The sequence below is a fragment of the Homo sapiens genome, chromosome 2 (genome assembly GCF_000001405.40).
Source record: "Homo sapiens chromosome 2, GRCh38.p14 Primary Assembly".
In the NCBI taxonomy this organism is placed as follows: Eukaryota; Metazoa; Chordata; class Mammalia; order Primates; family Hominidae; genus Homo; species Homo sapiens.
The window spans coordinates 165,334,951-165,358,337 of NC_000002.12; the positions used below are offsets into that span (position 1 = coordinate 165,334,951).

Here is a 23,387-nt window from a genome sequence, read left to right on the forward strand (position 1 = left end):
TTTCTAAACACTACTAATGAACAATCAGAAAATAAAATTAGGAAAATTCTATTTATAACAACATGAAAAATAATAAAATACTTAGGAATAAATTTAATAAAATAAGTGTGAGATTTGTACACTCAAAGCTATAAAATATTGTTGAAAGAAATTAAAGAACTACTAAATAAATGAAAGCACATTTTATATTCATAGATTAGAGGAAAATATTGTTAAGATGGCAATACTCACCAAATTAATCTACAAATTTAACGCTATTCATATCAAAATCCCAGCTACCTATTTTGCAGAAAGTGATAAATTGACTGTAAATTTTATATGAAAATGCAAGAGACTATATGCCACACAATCTTAACTAGAAAAAAAATAAAGTTGGAGAACTCAAACTTCCAAATTTTAAAACTTACTACAAAGCAAAAGTAAGCAAGATAGTTTGGTACTGGCATAAGGATAGCTATATACATCAATGGAATAAAATTGAAATTCCAACAGTAAGTCTTCATATTTATGTTAAATTAATTTTCAACAAGACCACTAGACAATTTTATTAAGGAAAGAAGCCTTTTCAACAAATGGTGCTTGGACAAGTGAATATCCACATATGAAAGAATGGAATTGAACCCTTACTTAATAACATATATAAAAATTAAGATAGGTCATAGGCCTAAAGGTAGAGCTAAAACTATGAACTGTTAGAAGGAAATTTAGAAGTAAATCTTCATGACCTATTATTAAGCAATGATTTCTTAGATATGATACCAAAAGCACACACAATAGCAATAAGAAAAAAAAGGTTCATTGGACTTTATCAAAATTAGAAACTTTCATACTGCAAACAATATCATCAAGTAAAAAGACAACTTAAAGAATGGAAGAAGACATTTGCAACCCAGATATCTGATCATGATTTGTATCTAATATATGTAAAGGATTATTATAACTCCACAACAAATAAAATAGATAACTCACTAAAAATGATCAAAATATTTGAATAGACATATTGAAAAAGGAGTTAGACAAAAGGCCAATAAGCACATAAAAGATGGTCAGCGTCACTGGCTAATTTTAGGGGAAAGGCAAATCAAAACTAAAATGAGATACCACTTCACACACACTAAGATGGCTATAATCAGAAAGAAAGCCAATACCATTTTTTATCAAGGATGTGGAAAAATTAGAATGGTTATGCTTTACTTTGAGAATATAAAATGATGCAGTCACTTTGGATAATAATTTAGCTGTTCCCCAAAAAGTTTGGGGTAGAGTTACCACATGACCTGGCAGTTTTACTAATTTCTTCGGATATATATATCTAAGAGAATTAAAAACATATTTCAACATGAATGCTTATAGAATATTATTCATAATACTAAAAATTAAAAACAATTCAAATGTCTATCACTTGATGAATGGATAAACAATATCCATCCAATAAATGTTATTCATCCATAAAAAAGAATGAAGTATTGCTACAATCTACAACATGAATAAACCTTGAATATATTATATTAAGTGAACAAAGCCAGTCACAAAATTTACATATCATATTGCTACATTTATATGAAATGTTCATAACAGGCAAATCCATAGAGACAGAAAGGAGATGAGTGGTTGCCAGGCAGTAGGGATTAGGGTAAATGGGAGCAACAACTAACTAATGGGTATGCAGCTTCTTTTTAAGGCGATGAAAATGTTCTAAAATTCAATAATGGTGATGATTTTACAAGTCTGTGAATATATTACAAGCCACTGAATTGCATACTAATATTTCATAGTATGCATGTATCACTATTTTTTCTTCCAATCACCTATTGATGGATGTTCAAGTTGATTCCAGATACTTTACCCCCATGTTGCAGTAAATGTTCTTGTATATATCACCTTTCATAATGCTGTATTAACTTCTAGAAGATAGATTTCCAGGATTGAAGTATTCCCAATATTAAACATATTCATGTCACATAAAAATTAGATGATATGCAACGAAATAGGGAAATGTGACTCATAGTTAATAGATTAAAGCGGTACATAGAAATAGATCTGGACAGGAACAAATTGTTAGAATAAACAAAAAAGGACTTTGGAGGCACTATTGTAAATATGTTGAGCAATTTAAAGGAAAAAAAGGGGTCATAAGGAATAAACAGAGAACATGAGCAGAAAAAAATGAAAACTGTAAAAAGGAATAACTCAGACATTTTATAATTGAAAAGTACACATTCTAATATGAAAAATTCACTGGATGTGTTTAAAACAAAATTGCAGATGTCAGAAGAAATAGTTGTTAACTTGGAGCACATTAATAGAAATTATCCAATTTGAACACTAGAGAATTAAAAGGAAAAATGAACTGAGTCTAACTATAATATGGGATAATATCAAGTAGTCTAAATATTTATATAATGGGAGAATCAGAAGGAGAAAATAGAAAGAATGGAACAGAGCAAATATTTGAAGAAACAATGGCCAAAAATTTCCCAAAGTTGGTGAAAAATAGTAACTTACAGACCTTAATGTTACCTTATAAAATGTTAGTGAACATCAACAGGATAAATATAAAGTAAGCCATACTTAGGCACATCTTAGTCATGCTGCTGAAAACAACAATAACAAAAAGCTTTGGAAACAACCGGAAGAAAAATATTTACTATATACATGAGACTAATGTCTTACCAGAAATAATTCAGGCCAGAAGAAAGTGGCCAGATAAAATAAAGAAATAAAAGCCCATTATTCTACAGAAAGTGAAACTATCCATCAGAAATTAAAATGAAATAAAGAATTTTAAGATAAACAAAAACCTAAAAAAGCTGTTACCACCAGAACTACACTACAAGAAATGTTAATGGAAGTTCTTTAGGCCGAATAGGAAAAATATCAGATGGAAATTTGTTTCTGGGAATGATGGTCACTAGATATGAATAAATGTGGGTAAATACGAAAGACTATCTTTTTTTCCTTAATTTTTTTCACATTTATTTTAGGTTCAGGGGTATGTAGACAGCTTTGTTGCATAAATAAATTGTAAATCACAGGGGTTTGGCATACAGATTATTTCATCATCCAGGTAATAAGCATAGTACTCTATAGATAGTTCTTCAATTCTCATCCTCCTTCCACCCTCCACCCTCAAGTGTCTGTTGTTCCCTTCTTTGTGTTCCTGTGAACTCAATGTTTAGTTCCCACTTATAAGTGAGAACATGCAGTATTTGGTTTTCTGTTGCTGTGGTAAATTTTTTAAAAAGACAACTGATTGTTTAAAGTGGGGATTTATAACATAGGTAAGTGTAAAATTATGAAAAGATTTGAACTTTTTTTTTTTTTTTTGAGACGGAGTCTCGCTCTCTCGCCCAGGCTGGAGTGCAGTGGTGCGATCTCGGCTCACTGCAAGCTCCGCCTCCCCGGTTCACGTTGTTCTGCTGCCTTAGCCTCCCGAGTAGCTGGGACTACATGCACCAGCCACCAAGCCTGGCTAATTTTGTTGCATTTTTAGTAGAGACGGGGTTTCATCGTGTTAGCCAGGATGGTCTTGATCTCCTGACCTCATGATCCGCCCGTCTCGGCCTCCCAAAGTGCTGGGATTACAGGCATGAGCCACCACGCCGGGCCAGAACATTTTATCTAAAGTGTTACAATATTAATTTTACATAGAAAATTACAAGAAAGTATCCCTCATGAACACAGAAGCAAAAAATCATTAGCAAAATATTATCAATAAAATCTAGCAATAGAGAAAAAAGTAATAAATACTTCTTAAACATGTGGGGATTATCTCAGAAAAGTAAGATTCATTTAACATTTGAAAAGTGATCAATTAATTGGCCATATTACCTCTAAAAGAATAAAGGAAAGCCTAAGATCATCTCAATAGATGCAGAAAAGGATCTGACAAAACTCAACAGTCATTTGTGAGAAAAACTGTCAGTAAACTAGGAATAGAAAGTAGCTATCTCAAGTTGTTAAGGACGTTTCAGAAAACCCTACATCTAGCCGGGCGTGGAGGCTCACGCCTGTAATCCCAGCACTTTGTGAGGCTGAGGCAGTGGATCACTTGAGGTCAGGAGTTCGAGACCAGCCTGGCCAACATAGTGAAACCCCGTCTGTACTAAAAATAGAAAAAATTAGCTGAGCGTGGTGGCAGGCGCCTGCAATACCAGCTAACAGGGAGGCTGAGGCAGGAGAATTGCTTGAACCCGGGAGGCGGAGGTTGCAGTGAGCCGAGATTAAGCCACTGCACTCCACACTTCAGCCTGGGCAACAAGAGTGAAACTCTGTCTCAAAAAAAAAAAAAGAAAAAGAAAGAAAACCCTACACCTAATATTTTACTTATCAGTGAAATGTTGAGGTAGTGAATTCTTGCCCCTTAGAAAAATTGAGTGCTTTCCCCTTAACATAGACAAATATGTCTATTTTTACCATTTTTATTTGACCTTGCACTGGAAGTTTTATCAACTGAACTAAAGGAAAAAAAAACAAAACAAATAAAATGCATAAATATTGAAATGTGGTAAATTATCTATTTCATCAACATGATCATATTGTAGACAATCCTAATAAATCTTTAAAACTGATTAGAAATAAACGCGATATTAAATATTTTATTTACCATAATATCAAAAAACACGAAGAATATAGTAATAAATTTAACAAATCATTTCGAGACACCTATTACTAAAAACCTCAAAACATGGCTGAGAATAATTACAGAAGATTTAAACAAATGGAAATATATATGCCATGTTCATGCAATGGAAGATTCAATATTATTAAGAAATTAATTCTACCCAAATGTATCTATCAATTCAACCCAATCCCAGTAAAAATGTCACAGATTTTCTTTGTAGAAATTGATGAACTGACTTTCTATGCAAATACACAGTGCTTAAAATTGCCAAAACAATACTGATAAAAGAATAATGAAAACATTAACCTACCTGACTTCAAGGCTTGTTATAAAGCTGTACTAATCAAGAATCTACAGTATTGGCATAAACAAAGATATCAATGGAACATAATGCTGAGTTCATAAATAGATCCAAACTACATGTCAATGGATTTTTTGAAATAAACACTACAGAAAGGAAATAGAAGAAAGGAAGTGTTTTCAACAAAATATCAGGAACACATAAATAAATGTATGGAAAATAAATGAACCTCCACTTCGATCTTATGCCAAGTGCCAGAATCAATAAGGATTGTAGACTAAGCAGAAAAGCTAAATCAATAAAACATCTGAAATAAAACACAGGAGAACATCTTTGAGACCTTGGGGTAGGCAAAAATTTATTGGAAAACAGACAAAAAGTGCTATCTATTATTTAAATGTCCATGAAATTTCAAACAATGGAGACCTACTGAACAAAAAAGAAAAGTCTAGTAATATACACATGGGTGAATTTCAATTTGAAGTATTCAAGTAATATTTGGAAAAGTCACTAAGACTGTCAGGTCTCTGAGGTAACCACCTAGGTAGAGAGAGATTCCATTTACTGAGTTAGCAAATATCAGAAGAGAAGCAAAACTGTGGAGAAAAAGCAGTAAGATGAATTTTGGACCTGTTGAATTTGAGATGCCTGGGAGATAGTCTTTCAAATGTAGGTATTGAATAGGCAGGTGGGTATGTATTTCTAGAGACTAGGAGGTATGCTTGAACAGAAAAATAGATTTTGAAATATGAACTATTATAAAAATGTAACTTATTATAAAAGGAAAACTAAAGTAAGAGGGGTCTAGACAGAGAGAGTTCTGAATAAATCCAGTATCAAATGATTTGTTAGAGGAAGAAAATCAGGTGAGTAGCATCCAGGGAGGTGTGGATCACAGAAGCTAAGGGCAGAAAATATTTCAATGAACAAGGAACAGAAAACAATGCCTGAAACTTCTAAAAGGGCAAGCAAGCAAGATAATTGTTTAAAAAATTTCGTTTGGATTTATTGGTGATGTCGGTCTTGTTGGTGAAGTTTGTTAAAGCCATTTGGTGGGTTGTGGAGTAAGGTGAAGAAATGGAACTGGCAAGTGTAGACAAGTATGCAATCTTCGAAAGAAATCTGGCCATAAGGAAAGGATAGATGGTGGCACCTGGAAGGGGAAATAGAGTGCAAGGAGAGTTTCTCTTATGACAGTGGTGATATATATATTTTTTGTTTGTTTGTTTGTTTTTTGAGACGGAGTCTTGCTCTTTCGCCCAGGCTGGAGTGCAGTGGCGCTATCTCGGCTCACTGCAAGCTCCGACTCCCGGGTTCATGCCATTCTCCTGCCTCAGCCTCCCGAGTAGCTAAGACTACAGGCGCCCGCCACCGCGCCCGGCTAATTTTTTGTATTTTTAGTAGAGAAGAGGTTTCACCGTGTTAGCCAGGATAGTCTCGATCTCCTGACCTCGTGATCTGCCCACCTCGGCCTCCCAAAGTGCTGGGATTACAGGCGTGAGCCACCGCGCCCGGCCCACAGTGGTGATATTTTTAAGGGAGAGAAGGACTCGGTAACTGTTACTTTCTATAAAGAAACGGGAAGTAGCCAGTAGTAGAAATGTTGGTTAATTGAGAATGAATTCCTTGCAAAGTCCAAAGGAAAACACATAACACAATTTGAGAGATTAGCTCAAAACAGGGGCACTTCTTTCATTTTAACAAGAAGAGAAAGGCAAAGCACAGTTACGGATGTAAGTAGTCTAGTAGATAAAGGGAAACAAAGTTCAGGCTGGCTGACTTTCATCACCTCTAAGACGCTGAAGTACTGAGACTGTGCTTCTCAGATGGGAAGGCATAAGCAAAAATGGCTGAGGTTATGTGCAGAAGAGAAAGTTTGAAATAGTTTTAGATAATAGAAATGGAGAAAGGAAAATACTGCTTCCCTTTCGCCAACAAAAGGAAATTTTTTTAAGAGTTCTTACTATCTGTAGAGCTAGCCGTGAGCATGTTTATTACAGCTTACATGACATCTTAGCACCAGTCTCATCTGCAGGGCCAAGGGAGGGGACCAATCCATTTGGCTTGGTGATGGAAGCCCGCACTGCTAGGTAATCATTTGGTAAGTTTTTGGAGGGCTAGAAAGATCAGAGACAGAGCCAAACAGTTGATCACAATGAGTCAGTTGCACCTTTCATATGAAAATAATATTAATTTTATTGACTTAATCCGTGTACTCTTTATCATTTGATAAACATTATATATAGTGAACAATTATTGATTTGAATGCAAAGCATTTGTAGATACTAAGTTGTTGGACCTAAACCAATTTTTTAAAATCAGAATTTAATTTATATTTGTTGGGAGTAAATTAAGTTGCTCAATAATTATTCGTGTTTCAAGAGTATTTGCTCATATAATGAACTACACTTCTCATTTAGGTCTTCACAGGGATCTTCACAGCAGAAATGTTTCTCAAGATAATTGCCATGGATCCATATTATTACTTTCAAGAAGGCTGGAATATTTTTGATGGTTTTATTGTGAGCCTTAGTTTAATGGAACTTGGTTTGGCAAATGTGGAAGGATTGTCAGTTCTCCGATCATTCCGGCTGGTAAATTAACTGGGAGTGTTCATAAAATGTACTTTGTAATTAATTAGTCTTCATTCTCATCTAGTAAAAATGGCAAGATTTCCCATCATTATAATATTATTTGAATACACTTCTAAAACAAATTGGATTGCCATACCACCAAATGGTAGTTTCTTCTTCATCATAGCTTTAATAAAGTTCACTTAAATGAATAGTCTACACTTCTCTTCTTAGTTATTGAATGGAAGGCTAATAGAGAGGAGGAAACAGGGAGTCACAGATAAACTCGAATCACAATTAAACAACACCATAGTCAACTCTCAGTTATCTGAGGTTTGCATAACTGCGTACAAAGCTTCCTTGGGACCTAGGATGAGCTCCCCTTTCTGCCAGGAACTAAAGAATTATGGAATTGTTCATTGCTCACCTTGTCCCCGTAGAGGAAAGAGTTAAGACAGGGGATAGTGTACAAAGGAGAAGGATAAGCAAACAGAGCTCCCCATATGACTGCTGCCACATCAGAAAATCACCAAATCACTCTTTGAAAGAGTTAACTGTACTATATTTTGTTAATTTTAAAGAAAGTATCTTTCTTTGATCTTTTATAAAAACTATTAGATCTTAAAATTCAGAGATAAAATATCACTTGACACATTTCCAGTGAAAGTTTGATATGTTTTGTTATACTATTACTTTGAGTTGGCTCTAAGTTAGTGATTTATTTTCAAATAACAGAGGCTGTACACGGTTACTAAGGACACGTTCCTATAGATGATTTACCTTAGTAGTGATTAGGCTGAAGACTTTTTCATGAAATCTGTTTACAATTTCCCTTTCTGCTTTCAATGTTCAAATTTGAGTTGTAATCCTTAGAACTATATTTCCTTCCCTAATCCTCAAAGATAGTTATGAATCTAATTTGAATCTAGAAGGATGCAAAAAACAGAACAAAAATTTAAAATGATAAAACAAGTAATATGGGCAAGAACTTAAAAAAATATATTTAGTAAACCTTCATGATAGTGTGATGCAGTTAAGGGAAATAGGAAGCATAGTATCACTAGAATCTTACTTAGTGTGTCAGGCTCTTTTGCATAAATTATTCTCTGGAATAAATTAAATACTTTGGTGCATGTATTTACTCCTTTGGGTCACTTTGATGCCATTAAATAATGCACTACTTTCAGCCTGACATTTACTGAAGCATCAGAAATAAAATGCTGCTGCTCTTTAACCATAAATGGTACTTCAGTGAACTCTAAAGCTAATACAACCAATATGTCAAACACAATGAGAAAGACATTTACACACTACACTGAATTAAGTCTATGAAGATATAAAGGTTAAAAAGAAGCCTAGCGTTTTACTTAAGTTTAAGTATTTTTGTATTTGAATATAATATATGTTTAAAATATAGCCTAAAGTTACAGCAAGCTAAAGATATAGCTAGATTAAAACAATCTAAAGACAAAGAAATTAGTTCATTTCTGCTTCCACTTTATGTAATTTAAGTGTTGATATTATTCTCACCTGTGCATTTCAGCATATTTAAAGTACACTGAAAACTATATCTGCTTTGGCCTTTTAAAAATAATGAGAGTTCCTACTTCTCTGAAACTGGATCTCTGCTAATTAACCACCATTAATCTGAAATATCTTAATTCCTTAAGGAGAAACAAAAGTGTATATTACATATGCTTATGTAGGATACTTGAAAATTTGGTGTATCTTATTAAACTGCCAATTTAAAAACTGTATAATTTAATTATTTCATTTACAGTATGGACCATTTCAAAATGAAAAAAAGAATGCTCTATGGTAGCAAGTCACTGCTATATTTGTTAGTGATCATTTGACAAATAAATAATTCATCATTCTATAATTGAGACAGTTACCTGTACATTTGCCCTGTTAATAAAATTACAGATTTTTCCCTTCCTGTGTCCATGTGACTAACCTGCACATTGTGCACATGTACCCTAAAACTTAAAGTATAATAATAATAAAATAAAATAAAAATAAAAAATAAAAAAATAAAAATAAAATAAAATTGCAGATTTTTTTAGAAATGCAGAGCATTAACACTGTTCTTGCTTTTATTTCCAGCTCCGAGTTTTCAAGTTGGCAAAATCTTGGCCAACTCTAAATATGCTAATTAAGATCATTGGCAATTCTGTGGGGGCTCTAGGAAACCTCACCTTGGTATTGGCCATCATCGTCTTCATTTTTGCTGTGGTCGGCATGCAGCTCTTTGGTAAGAGCTACAAAGAATGTGTCTGCAAGATTTCCAATGATTGTGAACTCCCACGCTGGCACATGCATGACTTTTTCCACTCCTTCCTGATCGTGTTCCGCGTGCTGTGTGGAGAGTGGATAGAGACCATGTGGGACTGTATGGAGGTCGCTGGCCAAACCATGTGCCTTACTGTCTTCATGATGGTCATGGTGATTGGAAATCTAGTGGTATGTAGCAAAAACATTTTCCTCATTTTCATTAAAAGATAATGTAATCATTAAAAAGTGTGTTCAACTGAAGAATATTTTGTATTTTTTAAATCAAGGCCACTTCCTATTGTCTATTACTCATGACTGTAAGAGCCATGTATAGTTTAGACCATTGTAATCCACACAAACCCTTAAACTACCTTTTGAACCAAAGTTATTCTTTCTTTCATTATCCTTCTTGCTACAAGGAGAGAAACTTTTCTGTTATTTATCTTTCAGTTCTTGTACTAGAGCATGGAAGTGTTACTTAGAACACTCATTTTATTTATAAGTACTAGCAATAACACCTGAAAACGTTTCAGATTTGGTTTTCTACAAATTTAAAAACTAGCAACAATCTCAGTTTATTAAGAGCTCATGGGGTTTTCGGTGCCTAGAAACTATGGTATGAGCAAGTAACATTGTCTCTAAAAACATTAATTGTCATTTCTGCATAAAATTAACCACCCCTAACACCATATATATTTAGGATAGTTAGCTCTTCTTGTTGCATTGATCCCTTTTACCATTATGTAGTGTCTTTCTTTGTCTTTTTTTAATCTTTGTTGGTTTAAAGTCTGTTTTATCAAAGACTAGGATTGCAAACCCTGCTTTTTTTTTTTCTTTCCATTTGCTTGGTAAATATTCCTCCATCCGTTTTTTTTGTGCCTATGTGTGTCTTTGCATGTGAGATGGGTCACAGCACACCGATGGGTCTTGACTCTATCCAATTTGCCAGTCTGTGTCTTTTAATTGGGGCATTTAGCCCATTTACATTTAAGGTTAATATTGTTATGTGTGAATTTGACCCTGTCATTATGATGCTAGCTGGCTATTTTGCTCATTAGCTGCTGCGGTTTTTTCATAATGTTGATGGTCTTAACAATTTGGTATGTTTTTGCAGTGGCTGGTACTGGTTTTTCCTTGCCATATTTAGTGCTTCCTTCAGGAGCTCTTGTAAGTCAGGCCTGGTGGTGGCAAAATCTCTTGGCATTTGCTTGTCTGTAAATGATTTTATTTCTCCTTTGCTTATGAAGCTTAGTTTGGCTGGATATGAAATTCTGGGTTGAAAATTCTTTTCTTTAATAATGTTTAATATTGGCTCCCACTCTCTTCTGGCTTGTAGGGTTTCTGCCGAGAGATCTGCTGTTAGTCTGGTGGGCTTCCCTTTGTGGGTAACCCGACCTTTCTCTCTGGCTGCCATTAACATTTTTTCCTTCATTTCTACCTTGGTGTATCTGACAATTATGTGTCTTGGGGTTGCTTTTCTCAAGGAGCTTCTTTGTGGTGTTCTCTGTATTTCCTGAATTTGAATGTTGGCCTGTCTTGCTAGGTTGGGGAAGTTCTCCTGGTTATCCTGAAGAGTGTTTTCCAACTTGGTTCCATTCTCCCAGTCACTTTCAGGTACACCAATCAAACTTAGGGTTGGTCTTTTCACATAGTCCCATGTTTCTTGGAGACTTTGTTCGTTCCTTTTCATTCTTTTTTCTCTAATCTTATCTTCATGCTTTACAAATTTAACTCAACATGGATTAAAGACTTAAATGTAAGACCTAAAACCATAAAAACCTTAGAAGAAAACCTAGGCAATACCATTCAGGACATTGGCATGGGCAAAGACTTCATGACTGAAACACCAAAAGCAATGGTAACAAAAGCCAAAATTGACAAATGGGATCTAATTAAACTAAAGAGCTTCTGCACAGCAAAAGAAACTATCATCAGAGTGAACAGGCAACCTACAGAATGGGAGAAAATTTTTGCAATCTATCCATCTAATATCCAGAATCTACAAAAAACTTAAACAAATTTACAAGAAAAACACAACCCTATCAAAAAGTGGGTGAAGGATATGAACAGACACTTCTCAAAAGAAGACATTTATGTGGCCAACAAACATATGAATAAAAGCTCATCATCACTGGTCATTAGAGAAATGCAAATCAAAACCACAATGAGATACCACTTCACGCCAGTTAGAATGGCGATCATTAAAAAGTCAGGAAACCACAGATGCTGGAGAGGATGTGGAGAAATAGGAATGCTTTTACATTGTTGGTGGGAGTGTAAACTAGTTCAACCATTGTGGAAAACAGTGTGGCAATTCCTCAAGGATCTAGAACCAGAAATACCATTTGACCCAGGAATCCCATAACTGGGTATATACCCAAAGGGTTATAAATCATTCTGCTATAAAGATGCATGCACACGTATGCTTATTGCAGCACTATTCATAATAGCAAAGATTTGGAACCAACCCAAATGCCCATCAATGATAGACTGGATAAAGAAAATGTGGCACATATACACCATGAAATACTATGCAGCCATAAAAAAGAGTGAGTTCATGTCCTTTGCAGGGACATGGATGAAGCTGGAAACCATTATTCTCGGCAAACTAACACAGGAACAGAAAACCAAACACTATATGTTCTCACTCATAAGTGGGAGTTGAACAATGAGAACACATGGACACAGGGAGGGGAACATCACACACTGAGGCCTGTCGAGGGGTGGGGGGCTAGGGGAGGGAGAGCATTAGGAGAAATAACTAATGTAGATTACGGGTTAATGGATGCAGCAAACCACCATGGCAAGTGTATATGTATGTAACAAATCTGCATGTTCTACACATGTATCCCAAAACTTAGAGTATAATAATAATTTAAAAAAATTAACCATACCCAACACTAGTGTCCTGAATCTTGAAGGCATGGAGAAGTTGGGAAGGCATGGGAAGATAAATATAACAAAGTGATATAACATGTACTCAAATAGAATTAAAAATAGGAAGTAACTAATATGTGTCCAAAAATATGAAAACAAAGTGCCATGTGTCAAGTTTACAAAATGTAAACCTTGCTTTACAATAGGAAGGTTGATCAGGGAAGTCTTTGTCAAAGAGTTTGGACCTAAAATATATTTAACTGAGATGTAAGATTTAGCTTGGTAGGAAGAAAGACCATCCCAAACAAGGAAACAAGGTACCCAGTGACTGAGGGATACAGGACAGTAGACTCTGTGAGAAGTATCAGGCTCTTATGCTTTAAATATGAAGTAATTACACCGAGTTGCTTAATTAGAACCCAAACCAATGGAATAGAAAAATGACTACCATAACAAGTAATTTAATGTATATACTCTTGCCAGGCTCAGTGGCTCACGCCTGTAATCGCAGCATTTTGGGAGACTGAAGTGGGCGTTTCACTTGAGGACAGTAGTTCGCGACCAGCCTAGTCAACATGGCAAAACCCCATCTCTACTAGAAATACAAAAATTAGCCAGGCGTGATGATGCACACCTGTAATCCCAGCTACTTGGGAAGCTGAGGCACGAGAATTGCTTGAGCCTGGGAGGCAGAGGTGGCAGTGACCCGAGATTGTGCCATTGCATTCCAGCCTGGGTGAAAGAGCGAGACTCTGTTGCAAAAAAAAAAAAAAAAAAGCATATACTCTTTAGACATGATTTCCTCTCATATAAAGGTAACCTCCAAGTCCCCAAAGATAGAGAAAGGGGAAGGGAAAAAGGCAAAGTATTATTTTATTTTTATTCATTGCCAAATTTCAGCCTCTTCAACATTACTTTTGATAATTCTGATCTATTTTTAAAGTAACAAGAAACATAAACAGTGTACAATCTAGAATTATAAACAGTGGCTTAAAACAATAAACACTGATTACTTCATAGTTTCTGTGGGTCAGGATTTGGGGAATAAGTTAGCTGGGTGGTTCTGGTTTAGGATCAGTCATGAAGTTGCTGTCGAGATGTTAGCTGAGGTTACAGTTATCTTGACTGGGGCTGGAGGATCAGCTTCTAAGAAGGCTCAATCTCATGATTATTGGAAGGAGGTTTCAGTTCCTTTTTGGCAGTTAGTTGAAGGTCTCAGTTTTTCTCTGCAGGACCTTTTCCATAGGACTGTTGAGTGTCCTTATGATATGGCAGCTGGCTTCTTCCAGGGAAGGTGATGTAAGAGAGAAGGCAAGGAGAAAATCCTCTTTATGTTCTACTCTTGAAAGTCACTCTTCACCACTTCTGCCATATTGTATTCATTAGAAGCTAGTCACTAAGAAGAGCTCAAGCTACTATAATCCCCAAGACAACTTTAAAATGTTTGCTTTCAGAAAAGTATAAGATCACATAGAACAGAAAGTGCCATAGGGTTACATAGAACAGAAACAAAGAAAAGATAATATAATTATGTTATAGATTTGATTTCATTTTCTCTGTATGTATATTTGGTATATGTTGGAAGAAGAAAAGAAAACGCAGAGAACAGAATCCTTTATGACAACATGAATGATCAGACAGCAATGGGGAATTAAGAAATATAAGTTTGGGACCAGATTGGGTAGAATTTAATTTATGAAAAGGCTGACTGTGCATAATAAAATGTATTTTCCTTTAGGCAATTCAAAGCTACAGATGATTTTTTATCAGGAAAGTGACAGTGAACCAGTGATATTTTTCAGAAATATACGTAGCAGGAGAATGCAGAATAGATTTAAAGAGGATGAAACTCAGCCCACCACATGTTATCTATTAGTTTACTGAAATTAACATATCTCTCTAATGTATAAATGTGCAGAAAATTGAAGTTGAAAAGAGAATTTCAGGAAATATCAAGTACTTATGGTTGACATCAGTATTAATTTAGATTGTGATGTATGCATAAAAAGATATAGTTTATAAAATAATCATTTCCATCTACTGGGTGTAAATTTAATTTTTGTTCTTTTAAGAGAGAAAAATTAAAGGTTCTCCTTTCTTTTTGACTATCAGTTAAAATAACTTCTTTGTCTTGTGATAACCTGGGTATGTTTCTGGAGTAGCTAAGGTAGTCATATATATCATGTTTACCACTATTAAGGAAATGTGCTTATATAACATTTGCTTAAGACTGAATGAACTTGATATACTCACTCCTTACTACAATTCTTCCTTCCTATTCTCACTGGAAAAATGGGAAAGGTGTCCCAAAGACAAAATGGCATAACTTCCTTTTAACACACATGAACTATCAGATGTGGCTCCACCCAAATAGATGTAGTAGTCACAATGGATGGGACTGCCAGCCTAGTCTACAGACAAGACAGAGCTGGGACCACAAACTACTGTTTCCCAGACCAGGATTTTTATGAGCCATTCTTAGTTTCCAGACACGATGGCAAGAGACCCTTCATTGGTTGAAGATAGGTGCTGCAGAAAAAGAATGTGACTTTCTGAAAACTGATAGTTCTAGAAGCAGAGAAGACAACTTCCTCTCTCCCTAAGTGAAGGTGAGGCAATAGCACACAGGAGGGATGTGAAGGTTTTGGCTTCCTCTCACAAGTTGGGAATCAGGATGGAGAAACAATTAAAATATGTAATATGTTTCAACCTTGAATTCAAAATGGAAATTATGGTAACATTTCCATTCCAAGAGGCTAATTTGAGACACAAGAAAGAGTTGATTTCATTTACTGAGCTAGCACATTTGTGAAACAGGATTCAGGATTTCAGTCCCTGAGTGAGCTTGCTGAACTGTTTTCTTTCTTTTTTTTTTTTTTTTTTTTTTTTTTGAGACGGAGTCTCGCTCTGTCGCCCAGGCTGGAGTGCAGTGGCGGGATCTCGGCTCACTGCAAGCTCCGCCTCCCGGGTTCACGCCATTCTCCTGCCTCAGCCTCCCAAGTAGCTGAGACTACAGGCGCCCGCCACTACACCCGGCCAATTTTTTGTATTTTTAGTAGAGACGGGGTTTCACCGTTTTAGCCGGGATGGTCTCGATCTCCTGACCTCGTGATCCGCCCGAGGCCTCCCAAAGTGCTGGGATTACAGGCGTGAGCCACCGCGCCCGGCCTGAACTGTTTTCTTAAATTGTCATGGATCACACCAAACACCTGTGCCAGCTGTTATGCGCATACCCTTCGGTAACAAAGGAAGTCCAGAAAAAGAGAATAACTTGACTCACACAAATATTTCTAGGGAAATAAGGTAAATAAAAAGATAGTGTTGTGGAGGATAAGTTGGATAATAGTAAGTGATAACAGCTAAACTTTCTCAAAGGTTCACTATGTGCCAAGAACTGTGCTGAAAGCCACATGAATTCTGTCACTGAATCCTTTCAACAACCTTGTAAGCTGGGCACTAGAAAAACGATTACATTTATTTTATAGATGAGGAAACTGAGGCTCAGATTGGTTATGCTACTTAGTAGGTAACAGAAAATCGATTCTTACCTAGCACTCGAATTCTAAAATATGTGCTCCTCTATGTCAAGTAATCTATAGAACTAAGATAAACATGCTGATGAAAGTTAGTGTCTAGTGGGTATTAATAAACGCGGTTTCAAAACTGTGTCACCACGGGTAGATTGGCTGCTTTAAAAAAAATAAAAACTTCAATGGATTTATGAGAAAGAAAAGTCATATGTTCCAGGGATATTTATTTATTTTCCTGACAGTGGAATAGCATTGAATTGAGTTATCAATTCATAAAAGATCAGAGAAACAATTCGAAAATTAATAGTAAACCCTATTATACTGACTAAATATGGTAGCAGTTCAAAGAAAGGAAGTATCGGTAAGAGTAAACATGGAATACTGTTTCCTCACTTATTCTGCAAACATCACAATTAGGAGAAAAGACCTTGTAGTTAGACTTTCAAAAAAAAAAAAGCTTCTCTACTTATTAACTGTGGTCTTGGACAAGTCATGTAAGTTGTGCAGAAGCATTTTCATCTGTAAAATAGTAATAATTCCTGCCTTATAGAGTTGTGAGAAATAAATCACATAAACCTTGAAAATGCTTTGCACAATAACTGGTATTTACTAAGAGCTCAACTAAAAAGCTGGTTTTACTTTTATTGTTATTATGATCTGGTATTGATACTGCTCTAGGACTTGGCTCTAAGGCATGTTTCTGACCAAAAGATCTCCCAATCTATCAGTAAAGCTGTGCTTGTTTTTTTTTTTTTTTTAAAGAATCCAATATAATGTGATAGGGATGTGGATGAGAAATTTAACAGGACAGAATGAGAAATGGGAGCAGGCTATATAAATGTCACAGTAAATGACATTTGTAAATAGAGTATTTGTCCAGTACAGAGGCAATATAATTGGCTCCCGCCCTGGGGAAGGATTGATGGATGTGTATCAAGAAAAATTTCCAAATAGACAAATGACAGAACTTTAATATACTTTAGGAAAATAAGTCTAGGAAATAGCACCAAAATAGATAAAATAAAAATTTTACATGCAATTTTTTCTTCCTTTGTCTGTTTTTTTAATCCAAATAATAAGTTCAAAAGCAAATTACAATAAAACATAATTTTATTGGTAAATTCCAGAGGCAAAGGAGCAGGTCTGGTCTTAATGTGATTATCAGGAGTCATAGTATAGAGACTGACAGATTGTCAGTACACTCTCAAAATCAAACGTGGTCTTCATTGGATCTTACATATTTTTACTTTAAAAAAAATCACCATTGGTTAGACTAACTTACAACTAATTAGACAAAGGTGCTGTAAGCCTCATTAGCATGATAGAAGCATGAGAATATAGCAAGAATGTAGAATCCTTTTTATTGAAGTTTTACTTAAAAATTTTCCTAAGATTCTACTTTTGTACTACAGTTTGAGCATCCCTAATCTGAAAATTTGAAATCCAAAATGCTCGGAAGTTCAAAGCTTTTGAGCACCAACCTGATACTACAAGAGGAAAATTCACATCTGGCCTCCTGTAATGAATCGCAGTTAAACCACAGTCAAAATGTTGTTTCCTGAACTAAATTATTAAAAATATTGTATAATATTACCTTCAGGCTATGTGTATGTGTATGAAACTTAAATGAATTTTATGTTTACACATGTGTCTCATTCTCAAGACTTGTCATTATGTACATGCAAATATTTTAAAATCTAAAATCCAAAACACTTCTGGCCCCAAGCATTTCAAATAAGGGATATGCAACTTGTATTTACTTTGTGCATTTGCCCCCCTTTACTGCTATATCTTTCTTTTGTTCTGTATGTTATGTGTGCTTAAATAATCAGGAATTCATTGATATTGTCAATCAAATCCTGAAAAAAAATTATATGACTCAGTCTTGTACCCCTGAGAATGTCTGATTTCTTCGTAAGTTGTCTTTTTTTTTTTTTCCACAATAGTGAGTTTAATGTCATGAATCTTTTCACTCATTCATACTGGTGGAGCCTATTTTTAAAGACCCAATTTGCAGACTGATTACTGTCCTTATTCATGGCAATACTTCAACTCCACAATCTTTAATTCAACAATAACATCATAATTATTGTATAATAACCATTTTATAGTATTTCTCACTATTGTATAATTATAGTAGCCATAATTGTCTTAATAAAAATTGGGACTTTTCATCCAGCAATAAATACGTTTTTGTCTGATTTGTCCAGTTATCTAGGTACAAAAAATGGTACAAAGGCACAAAAATAAAATCATATTTAAATATATTGGGATAATTGTTGATTTTAGGAATAAATTATCAGTGTTTCCGGAAATCCAAATTACATAGTCAAAATAGCATCTGTATTAGGCCATTCTTGCATTGTTACAGATAAATACCTGAGACTGGGTAATTTATAAAGAAAAGAGATTTAATTAGCTCATGGTTCTGCAGTGAGCTTGGTGCTGGCATCTGCTTGGCTTCTGGTGAAGTCTCAAAGAGCTTTCAATCATGGCAGAAGGCAAAGTGGAGCAAGCATTTCACATGATGAAAGCAGGAACAAGCAAGAGAGAATGTGGGCAGGAGGCACTACAAACTTTTAAATAACAACATCTCATGAGAACTCACTAACATGAGGACAGCACCAAGGCATGAGGGATCTGACCCCATCATCCAAACACCTACCACCAGGCCCCACGTCTAGTGCTGGGGATTACAATTCCACATGAGACTTGGGAGGGGGCAAATGTCCAAAATATATCAGCATCCCAAATAAAAGGGTTTTTTTTGTACAGTTGTCTATATTTATCTTTTGGAACTGAGCTTAATAGAAATGTTTCATTTAGCAATGATTTCAGTATTTTCTGCAATGACTAAAAAGCAAATAGTGATAATAGTATTATTTTATATTGACCAAGCATTTTTATTTCATTCACTTTTTTTCAGAATAGTGTATCATGAATTAGCAGAAATGCATGTTAGAATAAAATAAGGTGTCAAGAACAATCTTAGAAAACTAATGATGGAAAGCAATTGAAGCAATAGAATGTTTTGATCACCTGTTTTTCCTGCTGTGTTTCAGGTTCTGAACCTCTTCTTGGCCTTGCTTTTGAGTTCCTTCAGTTCTGACAATCTTGCTGCCACTGATGATGATAACGAAATGAATAATCTCCAGATTGCTGTGGGAAGGATGCAGAAAGGAATCGATTTTGTTAAAAGAAAAATACGTGAATTTATTCAGAAAGCCTTTGTTAGGAAGCAGAAAGCTTTAGATGAAATTAAACCGCTTGAAGATCTAAATAATAAAAAAGACAGCTGTATTTCCAACCATACCACCATAGAAATAGGCAAAGACCTCAATTATCTCAAAGACGGAAATGGAACTACTAGTGGCATAGGCAGCAGTGTAGAAAAATATGTCGTGGATGAAAGTGATTACATGTCATTTATAAACAACCCTAGCCTCACTGTGACAGTACCAATTGCTGTTGGAGAATCTGACTTTGAAAATTTAAATACTGAAGAATTCAGCAGCGAGTCAGATATGGAGGAAAGCAAAGAGGTAAAAATGTTTAAATAAGGAGATATTTTGGTGTTATATAATTCTGTTGTTTAAAATTATCAGGTGTTTTTAAATTGCGTGTTTCCTTCCTGTTAAGAAAATAGAAAATATCTGTCTAGCAATATATTTTCCATGGAAAAGTTGGTAATAAATAAATTAATGATAGATTAAAATATAGCTAGATTAACAATATGCTGACTTATGTTTCCAATACTGACATTTTGAATTCTTGACAGTATTCTTGATATGAATTTTTTCAGTATTTATAAATAATTTTAAATTTCTCAAAATGCCTCAATTTCTCCACTTTCTTCCTTGTAATTTGCCCACAACAGTGTTTTTTGTACGTACTGGAAAAATATCTGATGAGAGGGTAGTTGCAATTCTCATCTTGCTATGTTCTTAGTTCTTAATTCTTACGAAATACGTCATAAAATAGTATTGTATTTTGTTTGCACAGACATATTTACTCAAGGAAGATCTGATTGGGATCTTGGCTTGATATTTATGTATAGTTTATCTTTCCTGAAGTCAGTCAGTTTTTTTGAAGAGAAGGTATTGATGAGGAATCACACTAAAAACATATTTAACCCTACTGAGCTCAGTGTTCACTGTTTAAAGAAACAAAAATCCTTAATACATTATAGAATGTAAAATTCTGAATTTACCAACTCAGTAAGTCCTGGTAACTTAATGTATTCTTTGATTTACAAGAAGGGTATGAGCAACAGAATATATTTTTTGTTTTGTTTGCTATTAACCTGTTGCTCAATAAGTACAGAGTTGGAGGTAAAGAGAGGAATTTAAAACCTTGATATTTAATTGTTTATACAAAAATGAAGACAAGATTTCCAGTAATTAAAGTTTGCACTAACTAACAAAAATAACAAGGAAAAACAAAGATTCGTTCCTTCCTCATACGAACTGTTTGGCGAGGAAGATAAAAGCTTCTATTCCTGATGTCGGGAAAGAAAGAATGACGACATGGGGGAGTGTGGGCACTGAAAGGTAAAATTTAAGTAGCACAACATGATCATGATAATTAACAATCAGCCAAAATTATGAGGGAAAATATAGTTATAAAAAAAGAACAAAGATGGGTGGATCACGAGGTCAGGAGTTCGAGACCAGCGTGGCCAACATGGTGAAACCCTGTCTCTACTAGAGATTCAAAAAAATTAGCCAGGCGTGGTGGTGCGTGCCTGTAATCCCAGCTACTCGGGAGGCTGAGGCAAGAGAATCGCTTGAACCCAGGAGGCAGAGATTGCAGTGAGCCGAGATCACCCCATTGCACTCCAGCCTGGGCAACAGGATGAAACTCTGTCTCAAAAAAAAAAAAAAAGAACTAGCTATTTCAGACACTTTTTCTGTATTTATTTGATAAAATTACTAAAGAGTATGTTATTTTCCATTTTTTCTTGTTTGTAAGTTACGTAGTATTGCTGTTAGTGATTAGGTAGAAGTAGATGTTTAATGGGAAATTCAGACAATCTTTGAATATAGGAAGGTATAAATAACAGGGACATAGGTATCAGTTTCACAAGAAATAACTGATGAGATTCAAGGGAAAAGTAATAAAACCTTCTGTCCTGGGGCAAAGAATTACTTTAATTGGTTGAACTTAAATTTTTACTAACTAGATTATTGTTTGAAAGTTGAATAATATCTTAAAATCTTATTAACAAAATTTTGAACAAGTGTTGTTACAATAGTTGGGTTATGCTGGAAGGGTGGAGTGGCCCAATTTCATATACAGTGTACTGCTCTTATAGAAGCTGAAGTCGGCATTTATAAAATAGAATTCGGTCATTTGAATTTTGATGTATATTCCCCTCTCATTATTTTGAAATTATGCCTAATGGTGAATATTTCCCTAATAGTAAAAAAAGTCAATTTTTATTTTCACACATGTTTAGTTTTAGGCTGTCATATAAACTAAGAATGAATTATACAGTATCAAACGTTGAAGCCATTGGCTAGTTTAATCTTTTAGCTAAGTTTCAGTATCTTTTGAGGAATGTTTAACTTGACATCCAGTCTTCTTAACTTTAAGAGATTTTACAGCCGTGGGTTTTCCAAAAGAGCGTGTATTTTGCCTTAACTTAAGCCATTATGTCTGAAGTAAGAGGGAAGTCCAGTGATGTGGGGTTTAGAGTAGGGACATCTCTTGTTTCTCTTGTTATCATTAAGCTTTTTGATTTGTTTTCCCATTAAGTTAGCTCTGAGTTAAATACTCTAAAATAATATTTGTGAATTCAGTATTTCAGAATTGGAGGAAGAGAACTGACCTGCCAGGTGGAAGCAGACAGGATTATTTTATTGCTTGAGTTGTGGAGTCCTTCCAATACCTTCCCAGCATAGAGACTGTTACTTCAGTGTTAACATTATTTGGAGGGGTTTTTAATTCTGGCTTTATATCAAACTTTCTAGACATAAATTTATAAAATAATAAATGATGAGGGTTATCGCCGTGAAAGAGGTTATGTGTAGGTTTTGATCTTTCAGAATTTTACCTGGTAGCTCTACACTAAAAAACTAGAGAATTAAAACAATTATTGAAGAATTTCAGACACTCGCATTTGAAATAGCATTTCTTGCCTGCCTTCTAGTCATTTTTGTCTGGTCATTTTTCTAACTGGGGGACAGGATTACATTGTTAAATATCACAAAGTAGTAAGAAACATCATGAGGCTTATTACCAATCCTTTCTAAATTAATTTTTTAATTAAAGAAAAAATGAGGCTTTTTTACTGGAATGTCTAAATGAATTTTTTTATAAGGCAGACTGAGTGGACTCAGAGGTTTTTTAGGTGTTCACAGTAAGTCCTCTGCAATGTCTTTGCTAAATTTGTATGATTCTTCAGTAGTTTTCTGTAGATTCTCTAGAGTAGGCCATTTAAAATCATGTCATAATCCCCTATGCTTTAATTTTAATGTTATTTCGATTATATTAATGTAATTCCTTTTGTGATTTTGAATGATTGTTTTTTCTTTTAGAGTATTTAATAATGTGGAAGCCATGCTTGAATGACTATTTTTCGAAGTGAAATTTAGTAGTGCGATATGGTGACCTTCACCGCTTACCATTCTTACTTCTCACAGGAGTAAAATCAAGCTGGAGCCATCAAGAATGCAGCTCTGGTGTTTTTTAACCAGCCAGAGGCTCGTGCCACCACTTTTACCCAGGTTACCCAAGCAAGTTGTACATCTATAAATATAATCAGTTTCTAAATGACTTTTGACTGGCCTGCATGTTACTCAGCTACGTTCCTTGCCCTTCCATTGGCAGTAAAATAAAAACATGCACAGCTGCTATTATGCTGAGTCATACAAAGCATGGTCAGGCAAGTCTGACAACCCTAACTTAAAAAAAAGTGATTTAGCTGCTAATTTTCTTACATAGATTTTAATAGAAATTTTATTCAATGAAAAGTAAAAGTGCATGCCTTTATGGATTATTTAATTTCCTTTTAATGTTACAGAGTTTTGAACATATTAGGAGCCCAAAGGAGAAATGTAGGTGCTCTTTGAAAACTTGCAAAAATGCTTTTTATCCTCTGTCTTTAAAAAAAAGATAGCCCAGTTACTGTACTTAAGTCTTGACAGTTTTTTATTTAGTGTAATGTTTTTCTGAAGGGTAATCTTCAAATTAAAGCAATCCCTTAT

General features: G+C 34.8%; 1 protein-coding gene across 5 annotated transcripts in view; it reads left to right on the top strand.

Moving 5' to 3' along the window:
• SCN2A (sodium voltage-gated channel alpha subunit 2) overlaps positions 1 to 23,387 on the top strand; it is a 152,891-nt gene that overhangs the window by 95,537 nt on the left and 33,967 nt on the right. For all 5 annotated transcript variants that reach the window (NM_001040143.2, NM_001371246.1, NM_001040142.2 and 2 more), the window contains 3 exons: positions 7,346 to 7,519; positions 9,605 to 9,961; positions 19,242 to 19,721. In NM_001040143.2, the coding sequence (NP_001035233.1) occupies positions 7,346 to 7,519; positions 9,605 to 9,961; positions 19,242 to 19,721 (1,011 nt within the window). The remainder of the gene's footprint in view (positions 1 to 7,345; positions 7,520 to 9,604; positions 9,962 to 19,241; positions 19,722 to 23,387) is intronic.